At 36.3% G+C, this 18,294-nt stretch overlaps 1 protein-coding gene across 18 annotated transcripts in view, besides 1 other annotated feature; it reads right to left on the minus strand.

Annotated features, from left to right (window-relative positions):
* Positions 1 to 4,699: 4,699 nt before the first annotated feature.
* Positions 4,700 to 18,294, minus strand: part of PTBP3 (polypyrimidine tract binding protein 3) — a 162,168-nt gene continuing 148,573 nt past the window's right edge. For 14 of the 18 annotated variants that reach the window (XM_047424272.1, XM_047424274.1, XM_047424273.1 and 11 more), the window contains 4 exons: positions 15,365 to 15,457; positions 14,396 to 14,612; positions 11,118 to 11,195; positions 4,700 to 10,968 (listed from right to left, as the gene is read on the minus strand). In XM_047424272.1, coding sequence (XP_047280228.1) covers positions 10,836 to 10,968; positions 11,118 to 11,195; positions 14,396 to 14,612; positions 15,365 to 15,457 — 521 coding nt within the window. In that variant the 3' untranslated portion in view covers positions 4,700 to 10,835. The remainder of the gene's footprint in view (positions 10,969 to 11,117; positions 11,196 to 14,395; positions 14,613 to 15,364; positions 15,458 to 18,294) is intronic. The other 4 variants (NM_001375920.1, NM_001375918.1, NM_001163788.4 and 1 more) reach the window with 2 other exon arrangements.
* Positions 6,139 to 6,188: an enhancer, noted in NCBI's record as "active region_28821". NCBI's record gives its function as "activates an Ori minimal core promoter by ATAC-STARR-seq in GM12878 lymphoblastoid cells {active_cell/tissue: GM12878}" and the evidence as "EXISTENCE:reporter gene assay evidence [ECO:0000049][PMID:35858748]".

Raw genomic sequence — 18,294 nt, forward strand, 5'->3', positions numbered from 1 at the left:
ACTCCAGCCTGGATGAAAGAGCAAGACTCTGTCTCAAATAATAAGTAAATAAATAGTAAATATAAACAAAAATAAAAATGGGTATAGGCCGAGTGCAGTGACTCACTTCTGCATACTCAGCACTTTGGGAGGCCAGGAGTTTGAGACCAGCCTGGGAAACACAGCAAGACCTCATCCCTCCAAAAACAAGAAGATATAATTACTGATAAGGCAGAGATTTAAAAACATTATAAACTTTAACCAATATGTTTGAAAACTACTATATAAATTAATAGTTAATAATCTACCCAGTAGAAAGGGAGAGGGGCAGGAGTATAGAAGATACAACGCAGAATATGAATCACGTAAGTTAGGTGACAGAAACAAAGTTTCATTATATCAGTCTTTCAATTTTACAAATGTTTGTGTTTCCATAAAAACAGGCTTTAGAAAAAGGCAAACTTTTGGAGGAGAATAGGAAACAAAAAAAACCCAAGCATTTATTTTGCCTTTCTACAGAAGCTGTACCTCAAAGTAATGAAATAGCTGATATGGGGGTTTCTCTTATATAGAAGAAATCCAACTAATACAAGCAAAAGGAATTAGAATTATAGCTTTACCATCTTGCAGTCCCTAAAAATTAATGGATCTAGGCAATGATCAATGGATACTGCCATCAAAAGAAAAGCCACATTATGGAAGTATCCAACGCTATCAATGAAGTATTCTTACGAAAAAAAAAAAAGGTAGGGGGGAAGGGGAGGCAGGGAGAAAGAAGAGAGAAAACAGAATCTGAATGAGCTCTTCTCGATTTACATGTAATTGGCAAAATTCAAAGAGCTGTTTCTTCAACAAATAAATTACAAAAAAAAAAGGATGGAGAGGGAACCTGTAAAAGCCTTTATCAACTGCAATGTATGGACTTCTATACTGAAATGTTTACAGATGAAATTATATGATGACTGGGATTTAAAAGAAATCCTAGGATAGCCAGGTGTGGTGGTGCATGCCAGCTACTCAGGACGCTGCGGCAGAATTGCTTGAACCCAGGAGGTGGAGGCTGCAGTGAGCCAAGACCACACCACTGCACTCCAGCCTGGGCAACGAGAGACTCTGTCTCAAAAAATAAAAATGAAAAACTAAAAGTAATCCTAGGAGTGGGGTAAAGAACAGATTAAACAAAATTGGCCACTAGTTGCAGTTGGGTACTGGGTAAATGGGAGTTCATCATAGTAATACTTGTGTATTACAAATCTTAATTTTTGGCCAGGTGGTGGCTCATGCCTGTAATCCTAGCACTTTGGGAGGCCAAGGCAGGTGGATCACTTGAGGTCAGGAGTTCAAGACCACCCTGGCCAACATGGTGAAACCCTGTTTCTACTAAAAAATACAAAAATTAGCTGGGCGTGGTGGCTCATGCCTGTAATCCAAGCTACTTGGGAGGGTGAGGCAGGAGAATTGCTTGAACCAGGGAGGCAGAGGTTGTAGTAAGCCAAGATTGTGCCACTGCACTCCAGCCTGGGCAATGGAGCAAGACTCCGTCTCAAAAAAAAAAAATCTTAACTTTTATAAAGTCTTCTCTTAGGATGCTAGAGATCTAGGTAGGTCTTTCTGGCTTCTTTTGATAAAATATATTAGGAGGCCAGATGCAGTGGCATACTCCTGTTATCTCAGCATTTCAAGAGGCTGAGGGGGGAGGATCACTTGTGTCCGGGAGTTCAAGACTAGCCTGAGCAACATAGTGAGAACTCGTCTCTACAAAAAATAAAAAATTAGCTGGGTGTGGTGGTGGGTGCCTATAGTCCCAGCTACTTGGGAGGCTGAGATGGGATGACTGCTTTGAGTCTGGGAGGTTGGCTGCAGTGAGCTATTGATGGCCCCACTGCACTCAGCCTTGCCAACACAGTGAGACCCTGTCTCAAAAAATAAAAGGGAAATATATTAGGGGTTAGATGTCAAACAGCTCACCAGATCAGTTACAGTGGCAAAACCAAAACTAAAACACATTAATTAAATCTTTCTGAATCTAGTTGGATGTAAAACTGTTCGGAAGGGTAAAATTTACTTGAAAACATGTTTTTTTGTTTGTTTTTTTTTGGTCAGTGAAATATTTTTCCTGTAGATATGCCGTGGTCAGGACAATGCAATATATGCACATGTAAGAGTTTCATGTTGAAACTCAGTCCATGGTATCTTGGGTTCTTTATAAGAGGGCCTTACTTATTGGCTAGAATAATCTGCTGACTTAAGAAAAGAATTGGTTGCTAGCTCCTTGCTCAATTATAATAATTTTTGAAACACTCCTGGGTAACTGGTACAAAGTACATTAACCAGATACCAGAAACCCCTCCTCATACTCTTTCAGTTACCTCCTTCCCAAAGGTAACTATCCTGTTTCTGAACTTGATGTACATAAAATTATATAGTGTTTGTACGTGGCTTCCTTTGTTCAGCATCACATCTGTGAGATTCTTCCATGCAGTGGAATGAGCTTCATTTTGTTCAGTTGCATTACTATATTCTACTATAGAACTCTATCATTATGAAATCTATCCCTAATAATGCCTTTTGCCCTAAAGTGTACTTTGTCTAACATTAATGTAGTTAATAACAGTTTTATTTTGAAGACAATCTCTTAACAGGTTAGAATGTGACATTTGTATTCTGCAGGAATAAGGACTGAGCAGATAATTCTCTAATTTTAGGCACAGAATAATGATAGAGATGCTTATCAAGTGATTAGAGGGCAATTTATTCCAAAAGAAATATTGAGTTTTTCCTGTTACCCTGTCTATATCCTTAGAACAAATATAGGGGTAAAAAAATTGAGAAGGCTGGGCACAGTGGCTCACCCCTGTAATCCCAGTGCTTCCTACTGTAATCTGAGAAGGGAGGATCGCTCGAGCCCAAGACTTCAAGACTAGCCTAAGGAACAAAGTGAGACCCAGTTTCTACAAAAGTAAAAAGTAAAAAACTTAGCCAGGCACATACCTGTAGTCCCACTTACTTGGGAGCCTGAGGCAGAAGGAAGGCTTGAGCCCAGGAGTTTGAGGCTGCTTCAGCCTGGGCAACACAGTGAGACTCTGTCTCAAAACAAAACAAAAACAGAAAGAAAAATAAAAAAATAGACATTATGAATCTGCTAGGAACATTAGAATCATTACTTTTCTGGTTTCTTTATACTAGTAGAGTTGGAAACTCTACATCAGAACCCAGTGGCTCCAGAATGTGGTAATTCCAGCAAAATTATTACTAGAGTTTTATCACTTCAGCATAAACTGTTTTGATAAAAAACACACAAAGGAAAGTGATGAATTCCCATTATAGGTTGAAATAGACAACAGGAAAAAAAGCTTTGATGTAGAAACAGTAAGACTACAAATAGGTCTATCACTCCTAACTATACCTAACCCAGCATCCCAGTTCATTTATCACAAATGTTAGACATTAAATACTGGGCACAGCTTGTCTGACGATGTCCTCTTATTTCTACAATTGTTTTTTTAAGTAATGGCATTTGTCTTAGAAATAATCATTGCTCTGATATGGCTATTTATCTCTAAGAGTAAAAAGGACAAATTATGGCAGGGTCTATATTCCTACATATTCACAACTAGCTGTAGGATAGTTATAGCCATATGTATTCTGAGAAGTGCCTCAGAGAGGCCTCATGATCCATTTTTGGGGATTCCTATTGAAGGCAGGAGTTCAAAAGTAACGTGTTTAATTTGTGGATTTAGGCTGACATATCTACTACATTACACATTTCTAAAAGGTAAGTCACCACGTGCTTAACTCTATATTTTTCCCAACACCTAGCTCAAGTGCTGGTACAATCAGTACTCGGTGAACTGAATGAATAAAACAGTGCTATGGGGCTGAATTTTGTGTCCCCCTTCCCAAATTCCTACGTTGAAGTCCTAATCCCCAGAATCGCAGAATGTAACCACATTCAGAGACAGACTCTTTAAGGAATTAGGGTAAAATGAGATAATATGAGTAAGCCCTCATCTTTGACTGATGTCCTTATAAGAAGAGATTAGGACATGGACACACTCAGAAGAGCGAGCTTGTAGAAGGCGCAAGGAAAAGACAGCTATCTACAAACCAAGGAAAGGCATTGGAAGAAATCAACACTGCTGACACCTTGATCGTGGCCTGCGAGCCTCCATGAACTGTGAGAAACTCATTTCTGGTGTCTAAGCCACCTAGTCTGTGGGACTTTTTTATGGCAGTCCTAGCAAACTCATACAAACAGTAACTACATTTTTTGTTAGTTTTCTGAAATTTAAAATGTGAAACGACATTAAAAAATTTTTCAGAAGTAGATAAGGCATTTTTACCCTTCATCAGAAACATTCTCACCACTTACTCAATGTCTTTACGTTGCAGTGAGGTATGATCATGTGGCTTTTAGGAGAAAACATAAGCACTCCAATACTGTGTACAGATCTTCAAGATCATAACCTTAGCAGCACTTGGAAGTCTGAAACTGCAACACCTGGGTGCAATAGAGTGCACTGGACCAAGTCACAGAGACCTGGGCTTCCTTGCTGTTAACTGGAAATTGAACTAGGTGGTCTCTTGGGTCACTGACATGACTTAATGATGGTTATAACCCCTCTGCTGAGTAAATAAGCATTTCACAGTCAATCGAGTTTATAAAAGCCTAATATAGTCATACAGTTATTTTATCTTTTCCTGATAAAAATGCCTCATGTAAAAATACCTATTTATTTTCCCAGTATTTATGGAGACCACAGATTTTACAGGTAAGCCAGCAAAGATTAGTAGTGATTACCTAATTTTCTATTCCATTCAAAATAAATTCCCACTTCCAGGAGACTAAAATATACAATGAACGCTAAGTCTAGACTTCTGCAATCCAACAATTCTTTAAAGATCTGAGAAGTAAAACGTTTGTCTAAGGAAAAGGAATGTAGCATCAGCTAGTATCTGTGCTACCTTTTTAAAGAGGACACAAATTTGGTTTGAGATCACACCTTGTGTCTCAAAGTGTATGTATACTAATGCCGTAGGGAAGCCAAATACTGAACAAAACTGGAAATAGTGTTCCAACTGTAGTTTGGCACTGCACATATGGGGAGAAAGAGAGAAAGAAAAAGGAGAGTGAGTGTGCAAGCAAGAAAGCATGCCGCCATGCCCCTGCATTACGGGGCAGTGCCAGAGAAGGTGCATCATAGGAAGATTAGGAAAGCACTTTGCTCCTCAAAACGAGAATTATTCCTAAATGAAGACAGAGACAGTTAATAGATTTTGTGTTTTTCCCATTTTGAACATTGTTTGAATATGTGCTCACTATTCACTAACCATGACACGTTTAGATGGATGGCTATGGAAAAGAAAAGAAAATAGGACATCATTAGAATTACAGGTAAGACAAAGGGAAACCCAAAGTACAGACAAGAACACAGAAAAATTTTAAGAGAGTACAGATGTCATGACATTTATTAAAAGGCATGCTACAATGCTATATTTGTTAGGAAAAGAGATTAGAGATATCAAGTAATAGTCAGCAAATATACAAACTGAACGAAAATGGAATATACTGTAGTGTACAGAAGCTTGAATTAACCATGCACTACGCATTTAGAAAATATGTTTTTTAATATTTTATCTTCTCTTTGCATTTATAACATAATTCACTTCAACAATCACAGACTCCTTTTTTTCCAATGCCACAGACTGTTACAAATGAAAGCTGGTACTGCTGCTTATCCAAAATATACAAGACAATTGATGTTTTATATAAAACCACTTTATAAGTTCATTTGTTCCCAAAAACCTTTTTTTCTTTTTTGGCCTTGTTAAAAAAAATGTTGTTACAAATATTTACAGCATTTTCTTCTGTTAGACGAACATTCTTAAAAACTGAAAAGGGGAATTTTGATGAACAGACCACGTAAAACACCAGACAATGTCAGAGGCTCCTAGCTGTGCTATTTTTTTTTTCTTAGATACAGTACTGAAAATGCCCATCAAACTCGTCATCCTAATCCATTCTGTTCACACTGAAACTCACATTTTCTCTAAGTAGTCTATTCAGCAGTAGAAATTGAAAGTAAAGGCCGCTCTGCACTGGTTCTTCTTTCAGAAAGGAGCTTGGGGAAAATGCAAAATGCTTTACAGAGAGGAGTTAAAACCACAACAGTCAGTCTTTGGTCAGAGCAATGAGGTGACACTTTGATGCAAAACTTTGCTTGGTCAGCAATCTTTATAACTGGTACTTTCTGGATATGGGATGAATTTTTAAAAGATCTGGGAAACAACAGTAAGGGGGAAAAAAGGCCAGAGTATGATTTTTTTAATGGCATCAAAAAAATAGCTATTTAAATATTTGTTATTACAACTACTACATAGATCCAAGAAGTGAAAATAATACAACAACAAATCAGTTGACAATGCTGATTTAAGCATGCCATAGGCATCTTTCAATTATGACTATGATCACCAAGGTCACTGGACCAGACAAATATCCCTGTTCTCTGGAACATATGCCTCAGGTTACAAAAACTAAGGAAACTACCACAAAGATTTTGAGCAGCTCTATTCTTGGACCTGCACAATGCTCTACAATGAATATTATGTGATAAAGGCAAAAGTGTAACTGAGACTTTATTTATAGTTACAATTCTTTGCTTGGATGAATAGTTGGTGGGACAACATTCTTTTAAAACTATATAGTACATATTTCCTGAAAACCAGAATACTGATACTACTTTAGTCTCAAATAGGAAGAAAAGGTCAATTAAGACTACTGAAGAAGGCACATAAACTTTGGTCCTGTTTTTTCTCCCACTATAAAACCCCTCAAACTAAGATTTTAATAATTTTCTATATTTTAAACCACTCACAACTAGCTGTTAAAATTTGCTCTGAAAAAAGACTGCTAATAGTCTTGTAGATAACAACACAACTCTTTTAAAAGACAGCTGAGTTATATTTTCAAATTTTGTGCAATCTAAATTGTATTTCTTTCAGCACAATAGTAGAGTATTTTGAGTCTGGCAGTTTTGTTCTCATTAACAGATCAAGACAAAGGAAAGGCTAAGAAAAATGCTTTACGCATCGTCACGCTGTCTCTTTTTGGTTTTAAAAATAGCAGTACACATTAGGTTTTCTAAGGGATAGGTGGGGAAAAACACATGTACTTTTGTCAATTTTTTGTCCAAAAATATCTCGTGGGAACAGAAGAGAAACTGCATGACAATATGCTAAACATGTAAGCACTGCTGACTGATGGCACGGAGACACTGAAAAGAACAGAGAGCCAGGCGTGGTGGCTCATGCCTGTAATCCCAGCACTGTGGGGAGGTGGAAGCAGGAGAATCACTTGAGCCCAGGAGTTGGCGAGACCCCTAAAAATAAAATAAAGTAAAATAAAAAGAAATTGAGCAGAGGCATTCATAGGAGCCACTTCTCATCAACTAAAACAGAACCCATGATTATCATACTAGGTGGAGCCAAAGAAGGCCTCACTGTCATAAGGGAACAGGCAGGCATAAATGATATCTCCAAAAACTGAGCTCAGCAACTTTTAACAGTAAATCAGAAACATTACTTCAAATAATTGATTTCAATATTTAGTCTTAAAGAATTTATGGCATTCTGTAAGAGCTGCTGGGTAATTCTGATACTCTCCAGTAAGTATCAATTAAGATACTGGGTCATTTTTCTATTTGTATGTTACACAAAACACATTTTACTGCTATGCAAATTATTCAAATCTCAAAGTAAATCATTTTGGTGTAATTCGCTACTGTTAAATGTGTACTGCTATTTTTTAAAGTCCTGAATATATATACTTTGTGTAGAAGTCAAGACACCTTGAAAAGTGATGACAATACTCCTTAAAAATAAAATAAACTTAAAAATAGGATACTACGGTAGATCAACAGAGAAAAACCATTGCTAGAAGATACTGAATAAATGCATGCCAAAACAGAGATACACAGATCTAGTTTTTCCACCATCCTGATATTTTTTAATCTTTTTTTTACAAAAACTATGCCAACACAAATACTGTAGACCTCTATAATTCAAACAGCAAATAGCTTAATATGGACAACATCCATGTGCTACAGCTAATTTTAGACACAAACTGATGGTTTCAAACATGCTATTTTAAAACAAGAACATCCCACATCTCCAAATCTTAATTTGGTTAATTTTGTCAATAAATTAAAATGTATGTAATGTGCATATGTATATACAACTTTAGAAGAGTGTATTTATGTATATACACTTATCTACACACACACACATTCACACACACACACAAACACACCCCTACACAAATCCCTGAAAAGGATTCAAATGTTCTCTCTCAGACTTAAAAGGCCATTCCCTACTTCAAAGTTACATTCAACACCACTATGATCCCCTTCCGTTATTAGCAACTTTGCTACACTTATGCTGAATGTTATGAGAATCATGAATTAATAAATTACACAGTAATTCCTAACTTAAAGTAAATGAAATAATCCAATTTAACATGGCACTGAAAATTATAATAGTGCCTGTGTGGAAGGGAAAAAAAAGCAAGTTTTGGGAGATTTTGCAAAGAAATTTTTTTCCTCCTTCATATACCCCTTGTGTCTAGGTCAAAACTTATTTCATAAGTAAAAAAACAAAAAACTAAAAACTCCCACAACTACATACATGAGTATATCTATCTATTCAGCCAAACTGATCCATTTGAAAAGTCTTAACTTAGTATCCCTCCTTTCTATTCTACCAACTAAGTGTTGCTCAGTGGTGAGTGAATTCTGCTTTTTAAACAATCTGTATCATCTCTTGCAGTCTCTATTTTTTGGTAAAATTTCTTCTGTAAAAACCTCCCTATGTTCAAATTAATCACTGGAATACAGCAAAGAGATTGAGATTTTCTTAATTTTTACTTTTAAGAGAAGGGGTCACACTATGTTCCAGGGCTGGAGTGAAGTGGCTATTCACAAATGTGATCATAGCGCACTGCAGCCTTGAACTCCTGGGCTCAAGTGATCCTCCTGCCTGTAGCCTCCTGCCTACAGGCTCAGCCTGTAGCTGGGACTACAGGCGCACAGGCGCACACCACCATGCCCAGCAAGATATTCTTTATTCTTTTAAAAGTTGAGATGAGACACTTTGAGAATCTGAAAAGTGTAAAAGGGGTAGACAAAAAAATGACCCTTTTGACAAATTCTGCTTTAAAAAATTCTGATCAACAATTGAAGAAATAATAGCAAAGTTTCTTATTAAAAAGAAACAATTTTACATTATACAATCACTGAAGCAACATTAAAATGTACTCTTACATTCAATGAAAAAGAGAGGGACAGAGTATGAGAAATAACCCACCTTCTCATACTCCAAATACGTGGGTACTCAGTAATGAAAGTCACATTAACAAAGAAAAGCAAGTTCTCGCTTGAGGACTGAGAAAAACCAAGTAATCCTGAGACAAATTCTGATGGGTGAAAAAGATGAAACTGAGATTGCACTCTACAGCCCCAAATTGATATGCAATAACCCCTATCAGTCACAATGTAAAGAGGCCTACAGGTGTGCACTGAATTATTCCCAAAACCATTCACCCTTCCCCACACCGTCTCTGCACCAAGCACCAAAAATTTGATAAAAACTATTACTTATTGAAAACCACTTAAAATTGCAATGAAAAAAATTTTAAATCCTTACCAAAACAGAGAAAGAAAAAACAAAATGCTTACCAAGCCCACAATATAGCTTTCAAGATATTTAGATTAAACTCTAACCTATTGTATCTTAAGCACATAATAAGGCACATAATAAGAAATTAAGTAAATACACAGTAATTCTGAGTAAGTATTAGAGATTATAGTGGTACAAAAAACCCTTGAGATTAATTTTTTTCTAAAAGAAGACCTTACCAAAAATAACTTTTAAAAAATCTGTCAAACCATATGATAGACCTGAATATTTTCCTTAAGACTGTAAACTTTTTTTCTGAAAACAATTATAAAAAAGTAGTTTATAAGTAGGATTATTTTTCTTTAAAATTTTCCAAGATCATATTACTTGACAAATAAGTGTCATTTTGAAATTTAAAACATGATTTTTTCCTAATAAAATTATTAGTTATTCTGACATCTTATTAACAGATCTTAGTTGAATTCCACTTAATTTCCCTGGGGACAGCTGAGACACTGCATTTTTCCAAATAGTCTTAAAAAGTTAAAGATAGGCATTATTTAAAGGAGTGTCTTACAGTGAAAAAAAGAAATCATTCAAAGAAAACATGCAGGTTTATAAATCTGCTTCCAACACAACTCAATGTGTTTATGCATAATAACCATCAATATATGGCAAAGATCTGATGTACTTTATATGTGAATATAATTTCCTACAAGGGTCAGACTTCTGATTCATAAGGTTAATAACTTGGTCATAAGTGATTTAAATTACTTACATCAAGTAATTTTAGAAGTCTGTGTTTAAATTTTTTAAAAGTACAAATGAGTTTAGAAATGTTGTATAAGGCTGATCTGGACCCAAACTAAAACAACGTTAATCCTCTTCAAATCTAATTTAATATAGGGAATAAGATTATTGAAAAAAAATTTTTTTCCTGATTTTCTTTTTCCTGAAGGTTATTTTTGTAGAAACCATGGTAAAAAGGGAAAAGAAACCTTTGACTGGCGGGGGCAGGGGGAATACAAAAAAAAAAAATCCCTTGATTTTTAAAATATACTTGAATATCAAACTCAGAGTTATTTTTGTGAAAGAGGCAAAATTGGTCTTGAGCTGCTTCAGTCTATGTCTGAAGGTTTTACTGAAATTATGGTCCAGTTTTAGGAGAAAAATTCACAGAAAAGTCAGATTGTAGATTTTGAGAAGGAAACTCTGAGGTGGTGATTTTCTCCAAGGTCATGGTTATGAAGCTCAATGAGGGCCTGAATTGCTTCTTCCACAGATCCCAATTGAATGAGCGCCATTTTGCGATCTTTCCTGAAAATGGTATAAGAAATACAGAAAGTATTTAGAATGAATTTTGCTTCCAAACTCCTTCCTCCACCAGAAGACTTCACTGAACTACCTTTAAAATTTGCATACCATATTAAATAATTTTAATGTATTTCTTGAAAGCAAAGACTTACTGAAAGAATTTAAAAGCCTTCACTGAACATCCAGCTTCTATGAAAAGGTTCTTCAGATCATCCACTGTAACAGAAGGGCTGTGAAAACATCAGAGGGAGTCAACTACCTGGGCCGCATTCTCAAGTGAAGCAGATTAACTCTTGCAATCATCAAATCTCTAGAGTACATTTCAAACAGAATTATTAAGCCATATGACAAAGACTTGATTTGGAAGTTCCCTGAAAGATGTTCAAAAACTGACATGTATCGTCAAGCAATGGAATTTTGTCTCAATCCTTGCAGAAGACATGTGCAGGTATATAAAGGGCAAGAAAAATCTTTCTATATTCTTTTTTCTTTTAATGCAGCTGTGCCTGGAATCTATATTTATTCTTATTAGTCATACCACTGGCTTTAGTAATCAACTGTAGTACTTCCAAAGTTTCCTAGCTCTGACTTGTCTGCTACAGTCTGGAGTTCCATATTTTCAACTGTTTGCAGGGTAATTCTGAATGTGTGTATGTGGCTGTCAGCCTCTAAGGTGGCCCCCAATTACTCTTGCCTGCTCATATTCATGCCCTTGTTTATTCCCCTCCCATAGAAAGCACAGGTATCCTCTGTAAACACTTTGGATACTGTAGAAATGACAATGTGTGACTTTTGAAGCTGAGAGACATTGTGGTTTCTACTATGTCCTCTCCTGAATCATTAGCTTTGGAAGGACACCGTGAAGACACTATGGAGAAGTCCTCATGACAAGGAACTGGGGCCTTCGGTCAACAAACAGGCACATGACTAAGCCATTTTGGAAATGGATCCTCTATCTCCAGTTAAAACCTTCAGATGACCACATCCTTGCCTTGCATCGTGATTACAACCTTATGACAGACTCAGCCAAAGCCACCCAGCTAAGCCACTTCTAGATTCCTGACTCACAGTAACAATATGAGATAATAAACATTTACTACTGTGTTAAGCTGTGAAGTCTGGGGTGGTCTGTTATACAGCCATACATAACTAATATAGTGGTCTATCACGTGACAGTCAACTGACTAAAAGTAGATTCATCTCACAACTGCCAACAAGGACAGTATAGCAGAACAATCATTAGCTCTGTAGGAAGACAGACCTGGGTTCACTTTCTATTCCTCACTCACTTGTATATCACTTTGAGTAAATTTTTTAACCTAAGTCTCAGTTTCATTAATACAATGAAAATACCTTACTTCAAAGGTTATTATGGATAATAATGCCAACAACAACATAGAATAGTGGATACCAGGAGCTGGGAGTTAGGAGGAAAAAGGTGGTTACTGCTTAATGGGTACAGAGTTTCAGTTTGGGATGATGAAAACGTTCTACAGATGGACAGAGGTGACGGTCGCACAATAATGTGTAAAGCAATTAATGTGAATGTATACTGGACTGTACACTTAAAAATAGTTAAAACTGTAATTTTTAAATTATGTGTATTTTATCACAGTTTTTTTAAAAAAGGTTGTTGTGGAGATTAAATGAGGCAACATGTGTAAAGCACCAGTACAGTACCCAGAACTTGGAAGAATATTAATATCCTTTCTTCTTCTTCCTACATGTCCTATGTAGGTTGCAACTGGAGCCCAGCTCCTGCGTGATGTGGTATATTTAAAAAGCTAACAACAGAGCTGGGCACAGTCGTTCACGTCTCTAATCCCAACACTTTGGGAGGCAGATTGCTTGAGCTCAGAAGTTAGAGATCTGCCTGGGCAAATGGTAAAACCCTGTCTCTACAAAAAAATACAAAAAATTAGCTGGGCATGCCGACACCTGTAGTCCCAGCTACTTGGAAAGCTGAGGTGGGAAGATCACTTGAGATTGGGAGGCAGAGGATGCAGTGAGCTGAGATCACACCACTGCACTACAGCCTGGGCAACAGAGGGAGACCCTGTCTCAAAAAAAAATATATTAATTTAAAAAAATTAAAAGCTAATGATGACAGGTGCCTGCCTCAGTATCTAATTGTTGTCCATTTACCCTACACTCCACAGTAATGAGCTGCTAAATTTCTCGGTCCATGTCATCTACTTTTAATCTACTTTTTTTTTTTTTCCTTGACTCTACCAGTTTCCCGGCTGGTATGAGGTTTGATCCACTGCCCCACTTGGATTCAAGGTTTCTCCATGCAGCCTAACTGGAGACCAGCAGGGAGGCCGGATATTCAGCATTCTTCTGAGTAATTATTCTCTATTACTATTCACTTCCCATTCTCATTCTCAATAATGTTCCAGACTTCACCCCTCTCTATACCCTCAAGTTTTTAAATTTTTACACACATACACACACATCCCCCACAGCTTTTATCTCTTTTCCAAAGCTTATAGTCCCTTTTATGTATTAGTTCAAATTATACAAAACTGCCATTTTTTTGTTTTAACAATTTCCAAAGTCCATGAACAAAACTGCCATTTTTGTAGACTAAGGACTTCAACAATTAGGACAGAGATAGCCAGATATTTTCTTTAAAGGGCCAGACAGTAAATATCTTAGGCTGTATGGGCCATATTGTCTCTGCTGCAACTAATCAGCTTTGCTGTTGTAACTCAAGAGCAGCCATAAGTAACACGTAAGTGAATGGGTACAGCTATATTACACGAAACTTTATAAAAGGCGAATTTTGAATTTTATATAATTTTCTCACATCACAAAATATTTTGCTTCCATTTTAAAATGTAAAAATCATTCTTAGCTCATAGGCCATACAAAAACAGCCATAGGCTACAGGTTGTCAATCCCTGAGTTTGAAGATAACTAAAGCACACATACAACACTGGTTAATAAAGAGACCTGTACAGTGGCTACAGGAAAATAACGTTTAGCTTTTAAGTAATTACCATATCTATGGCTTTACAGCTTGTAGATAAAAAGTATGAAATCCATTTTTACCAAATTCTTAGATACACAATTTGATTTTGTCATATTGGTTAACGTAAGAGTCATTACTTCTACAAACAGATGGACAAATACGTGCCAATGGAATACTTCTGCCTAGAATTTTTTTTATGACCTTTGATCACTGAAAAATAACTAGTTGTGAATTCTCTATTTGGAAAGAAAATTTTAAAACAGGTATCTTTCTATTTTAGAGTGTAGGATTGGAGATAACCTTCTGAAGGCATGATGGCAAATAAATTGTCTTATCAGAAACTGTTGACCAGGACAACTGCTAGGTTAGAACAATTTCAGAAGTTTTAACCTCTCCTACATCACATATTGTAGATTATTCATCATCTAAGTGATTAATAACTTATTAGGTACATACGGAATGTTGGAAAGATGCAGAGTGGCTGATGGTGGAAAGATATTCTGGAAGTTTTTAGAGCCCGGCTTTTTAAAGCGATGCAAAGGACTATTGCTGAAATCCTTAGTCAGACCTTGGTCTTCTTGTCCCTCTCGAGGAAGCTGTACTGCTTGATGTTTGGACAGTGTAGCACGAAGCACTTTCCCATAAAGTCTCTGACCACTTAGATGGTTCATTGCTAGTGCATGGGAAGAAAATTTTAAAGTTTGAGTATTAGGATAGATTTCTCAGTAGTATCTGACAACATTACCATAAATTATTTTTATGTAGTTATTTAAAACTGTATTATCAGTTTGAGGGTGAAAAGGGTTTCAAAATCCAAAAACCCTCAAGGAAATATATTAAATGACTTCATTTCACTATAAGAAAAGCAATTTAAAACAAACAAAAAATATTTTCTGAGCAGAGTGCTATGAAGTTTCAGAGTGCCTGGAACATAGTAAGTATTCATGAAATGGTTACTGAATATATTAGTTTTATCTCAAGCAAGGCATTTTTATAAGAAATTTTGAGTAATACTTTACAGCTTTTATAACAGTGAAGCCATGAACCCTTTCTTGTATCATCATTACAAAGTTTGCCCAAACTTTTAAGCCACTCAGTGGTTACAGAAAACTTAATTTGGAAGGAAAATAAATTAAAAAAATGAAATAAAACAAATCATGCTTATTAAACTTAACGGAAAAACCCTAGGGTCAAAGCTCTAGAAATTAACAATATGTTCACGTAGACAAATGAACTTCAGACTTAGAAGAGTGATGAATATTTTTTAACCTTAACATATAGACAGATGCAAATAATAATGAAGGCATTATCACAAGGAGGTGTTCTTTTGTAAAATCATATTCCTACTAGCTGTATTTTGAAGGAAAATTCACACACAAAAGGGGCAAGTTCACATTATTATTAATAATTATTAATCATTAGTACCTAGCTGAGCTTGATTTGCATCCGCCATCTGAACCAAGGCATTTTCTTTCTTATTAAACATAATCTTCACTCGATGTACATCACCATAGACTCCTAATTAAAACAAAACAAAACACTGTGTTTAACGTCTGATTGTGTTGTGTTTAATTAATTTTACTAATATACTTAAAGAAGGCATTTCTTACTCTCCCTTGGCAATTCCATACATACACCTGCAAATTTTTATCTCTTCCAAAGTTCCAGATCTATTCATGTACTTACTCTTTTTCACTTGGATGTCCCATCAACACTCTAAACTTATTATGTCCCAAAATGATTCATCCCCCCTTTCCTCTCCCCACTCCCAGTGCTCACTAAAGCTGTAGATAAATACCATCATTCACACAGTTGCTCCAGCCAGAAACCTGGGAGTCATCTTTTGACTTCTTCCTTTCCTCAAACCCTGACACCCACCCAATCAATCACCAGCACCCATTGATTCTATGGTCTAAATATCTCTCATATTTGTCCACCTCTCCCAATCCTCGCTACCATCAAAGCTATCAACACCATTTCACACTCGGACAATCAGGACAACCTAATTGATCCTAACTCATCTTATTACCCTCGATTTTTCTACCCTAGTGTTCCCCAAAGTGGGTCCCATATCCTAAAGGATGGGTAAAGTGATTCACTGGGGTATGGAAAGATAATAATCAAACTCTTATCTATACTAATCTATTTATATAAACCAATATTAAAAAACTACAGTTTTTGAATTTTTAATATATAGATAAAATTAAAGCCAACAGGTTCTACGAAGTCAATTCCAGTCTCACTCGATTTTTTCATCCAGTGTATTACAATATATTTCAGTTTATGTGCTACAGAGTATCATCAATATTATAAAAATAAGATCTTTCAGCAGGGCACAGTGGCTCACACCTATAATCCCAGCACTTTGGGAGGCCGAGGTGGGTGGATCACTTGAGGTCAGGAATTCGAGACCAGCCTGGCCAACATGGGGAAACCCCGTCTCTACCAAAAAATACAAAAATTAGTCAGGCCTGGTGGCGCACACCTGTAGTCCCAGCTACTCGGGAGGCTGAGGTGGGAAAATTGCTTGAACCTGGGAGGTAGAGGTTGCAGTGAGCCAAGATTGTGCCACCGCACTCCAGCCTGGGCAACAGAATAAGACCCTGTCTCAAAAAAAAAAAAAAAAATCTTTCAATAGTTACATCATTATCATACTAATGGCACTTTAAAAATTTAAAATGGAGACAAGTATTCCGAATTTGCTACCTTTCTCAGAAATAACACGATGGTGATGTAACTATTCTTTAAAAACTAAACATATACCATTTGTTTTGCAAAATGTGGGTGTTTATTTTTTGTAGAGATGGGGTCTCACTATCTGGCCCAGGTTGGTCTCAAACAATCTGATCCTCCTGCCTTGGCCTCCCAAAGTGTTGGGATTACAGGCATGAGCTGCTGCACCCAGCCATTTTTTAAATGAGTGAGAAATTAACTACTTTTGGTATGAAACATGCTTTGGCTAGAAAAGAGTCATATTAAAATGTATTATTAATACTTGATTTTATTACTGAAAATTACATGCATCAATCATTAATAAAAACTTTTATAGTGACTGCATATGAGCATGAGGAATTTCTCTCGGGCGTTGAAAATTTTCTAAAATTGGACTGTGGTGATGGCCACACAACTGTGAATTTACAAAAATCTTGAGTTGTAAACCCAAAGCAGGTAAACTGTATGGTTGTAAATTACATCTGAAAAAATTCCATTAAAAAAAACCTATCAGCCTGGTGTTGTGGCTTGCACTTATAATCCCAGCTACTTGGAAGGCTGAGGGAGGACGACTGCTTGAGCCCAAGAGTTTGAGACTACAGTGAGCTATGATCACACCACTGCACTCCAGCCTGGGAAACAGTGAGACCCTGTCTCTAAAACTATCACATTCAAAAAATTTGGAAGCAGTTTTCTATCTTATTTTAAAAATCTTACAAATGAAGCATATCAGTGAGTTTTAACTCTATTTGTCAGACATATTCAAACACAACAGTTTTCAAGATCCACTGATTTACGGGGAAAAAATCTAACTTTTCTAGATAAAACATGACAAAAATTGGTGGATTACATGAAAAAAATAATGAAATAATTATTGAAGTACAGCAACAATGAAACCCCTGCATTTAGATTATATATATTTATGATTTATCTTCTTCAGCTATGACAACCATTAAAATCAAGTAGTGAAATAATCTACCCTTGGATTACTGAATCAAAATGAAAACAAGGATTTTTAGTAATATCAAAGCATATTAATCATACTGCTCATTAGATGTTAATCATGTTTTATGGAAAAATAAACTGTCCTTAATAAAAATCTTTAAAATAGTAAATATTGCTTATTTCATTGTTCTCATATTTCTATGCTGTTCGAAAGTTTGGAGACTATTTTTAAAACCTGAATCGCATTATACCACTCTCTTGCCTTAAAATTATTCAATGGCTTCCGATTGTTCTTAGGTAAAAACCAAATTCCTTAACAAAGCTTTTAACAGCTCTTCACGATTTTGACCCTACGCAGCTGTCCACCTTCACCAGGTCTCCATTATGCTTGCCTATGCTCACCACTGGGCTTCCTTCACTTCCATGCACCAGGACCCATCTCTCCCCTCTCCCCTCCCCTGTGAAGACATTGCCCTCCCTTTCTGCCTGGCTGATTCTTACTCATGTTGAACAAGTCAGCTTAACTATCATTTCTATTGAGTCCCTCTGCTAGGTTAGGTCTCCCTGCGTTACACTCCCTTTACAAAACCTATATTTCCCATACTATAAATCATCACTGTAATTACTTACTAAGTCTTATTCACTGTTTTATCCTCAGTGTCAGCACAATACTTGGCACACAGAAGTAATCAATACAT

This window comes from Homo sapiens, chromosome 9 (genome assembly GCF_000001405.40).
Source record: "Homo sapiens chromosome 9, GRCh38.p14 Primary Assembly".
NCBI classification, from domain to species: domain Eukaryota; kingdom Metazoa; phylum Chordata; class Mammalia; order Primates; family Hominidae; genus Homo; species Homo sapiens.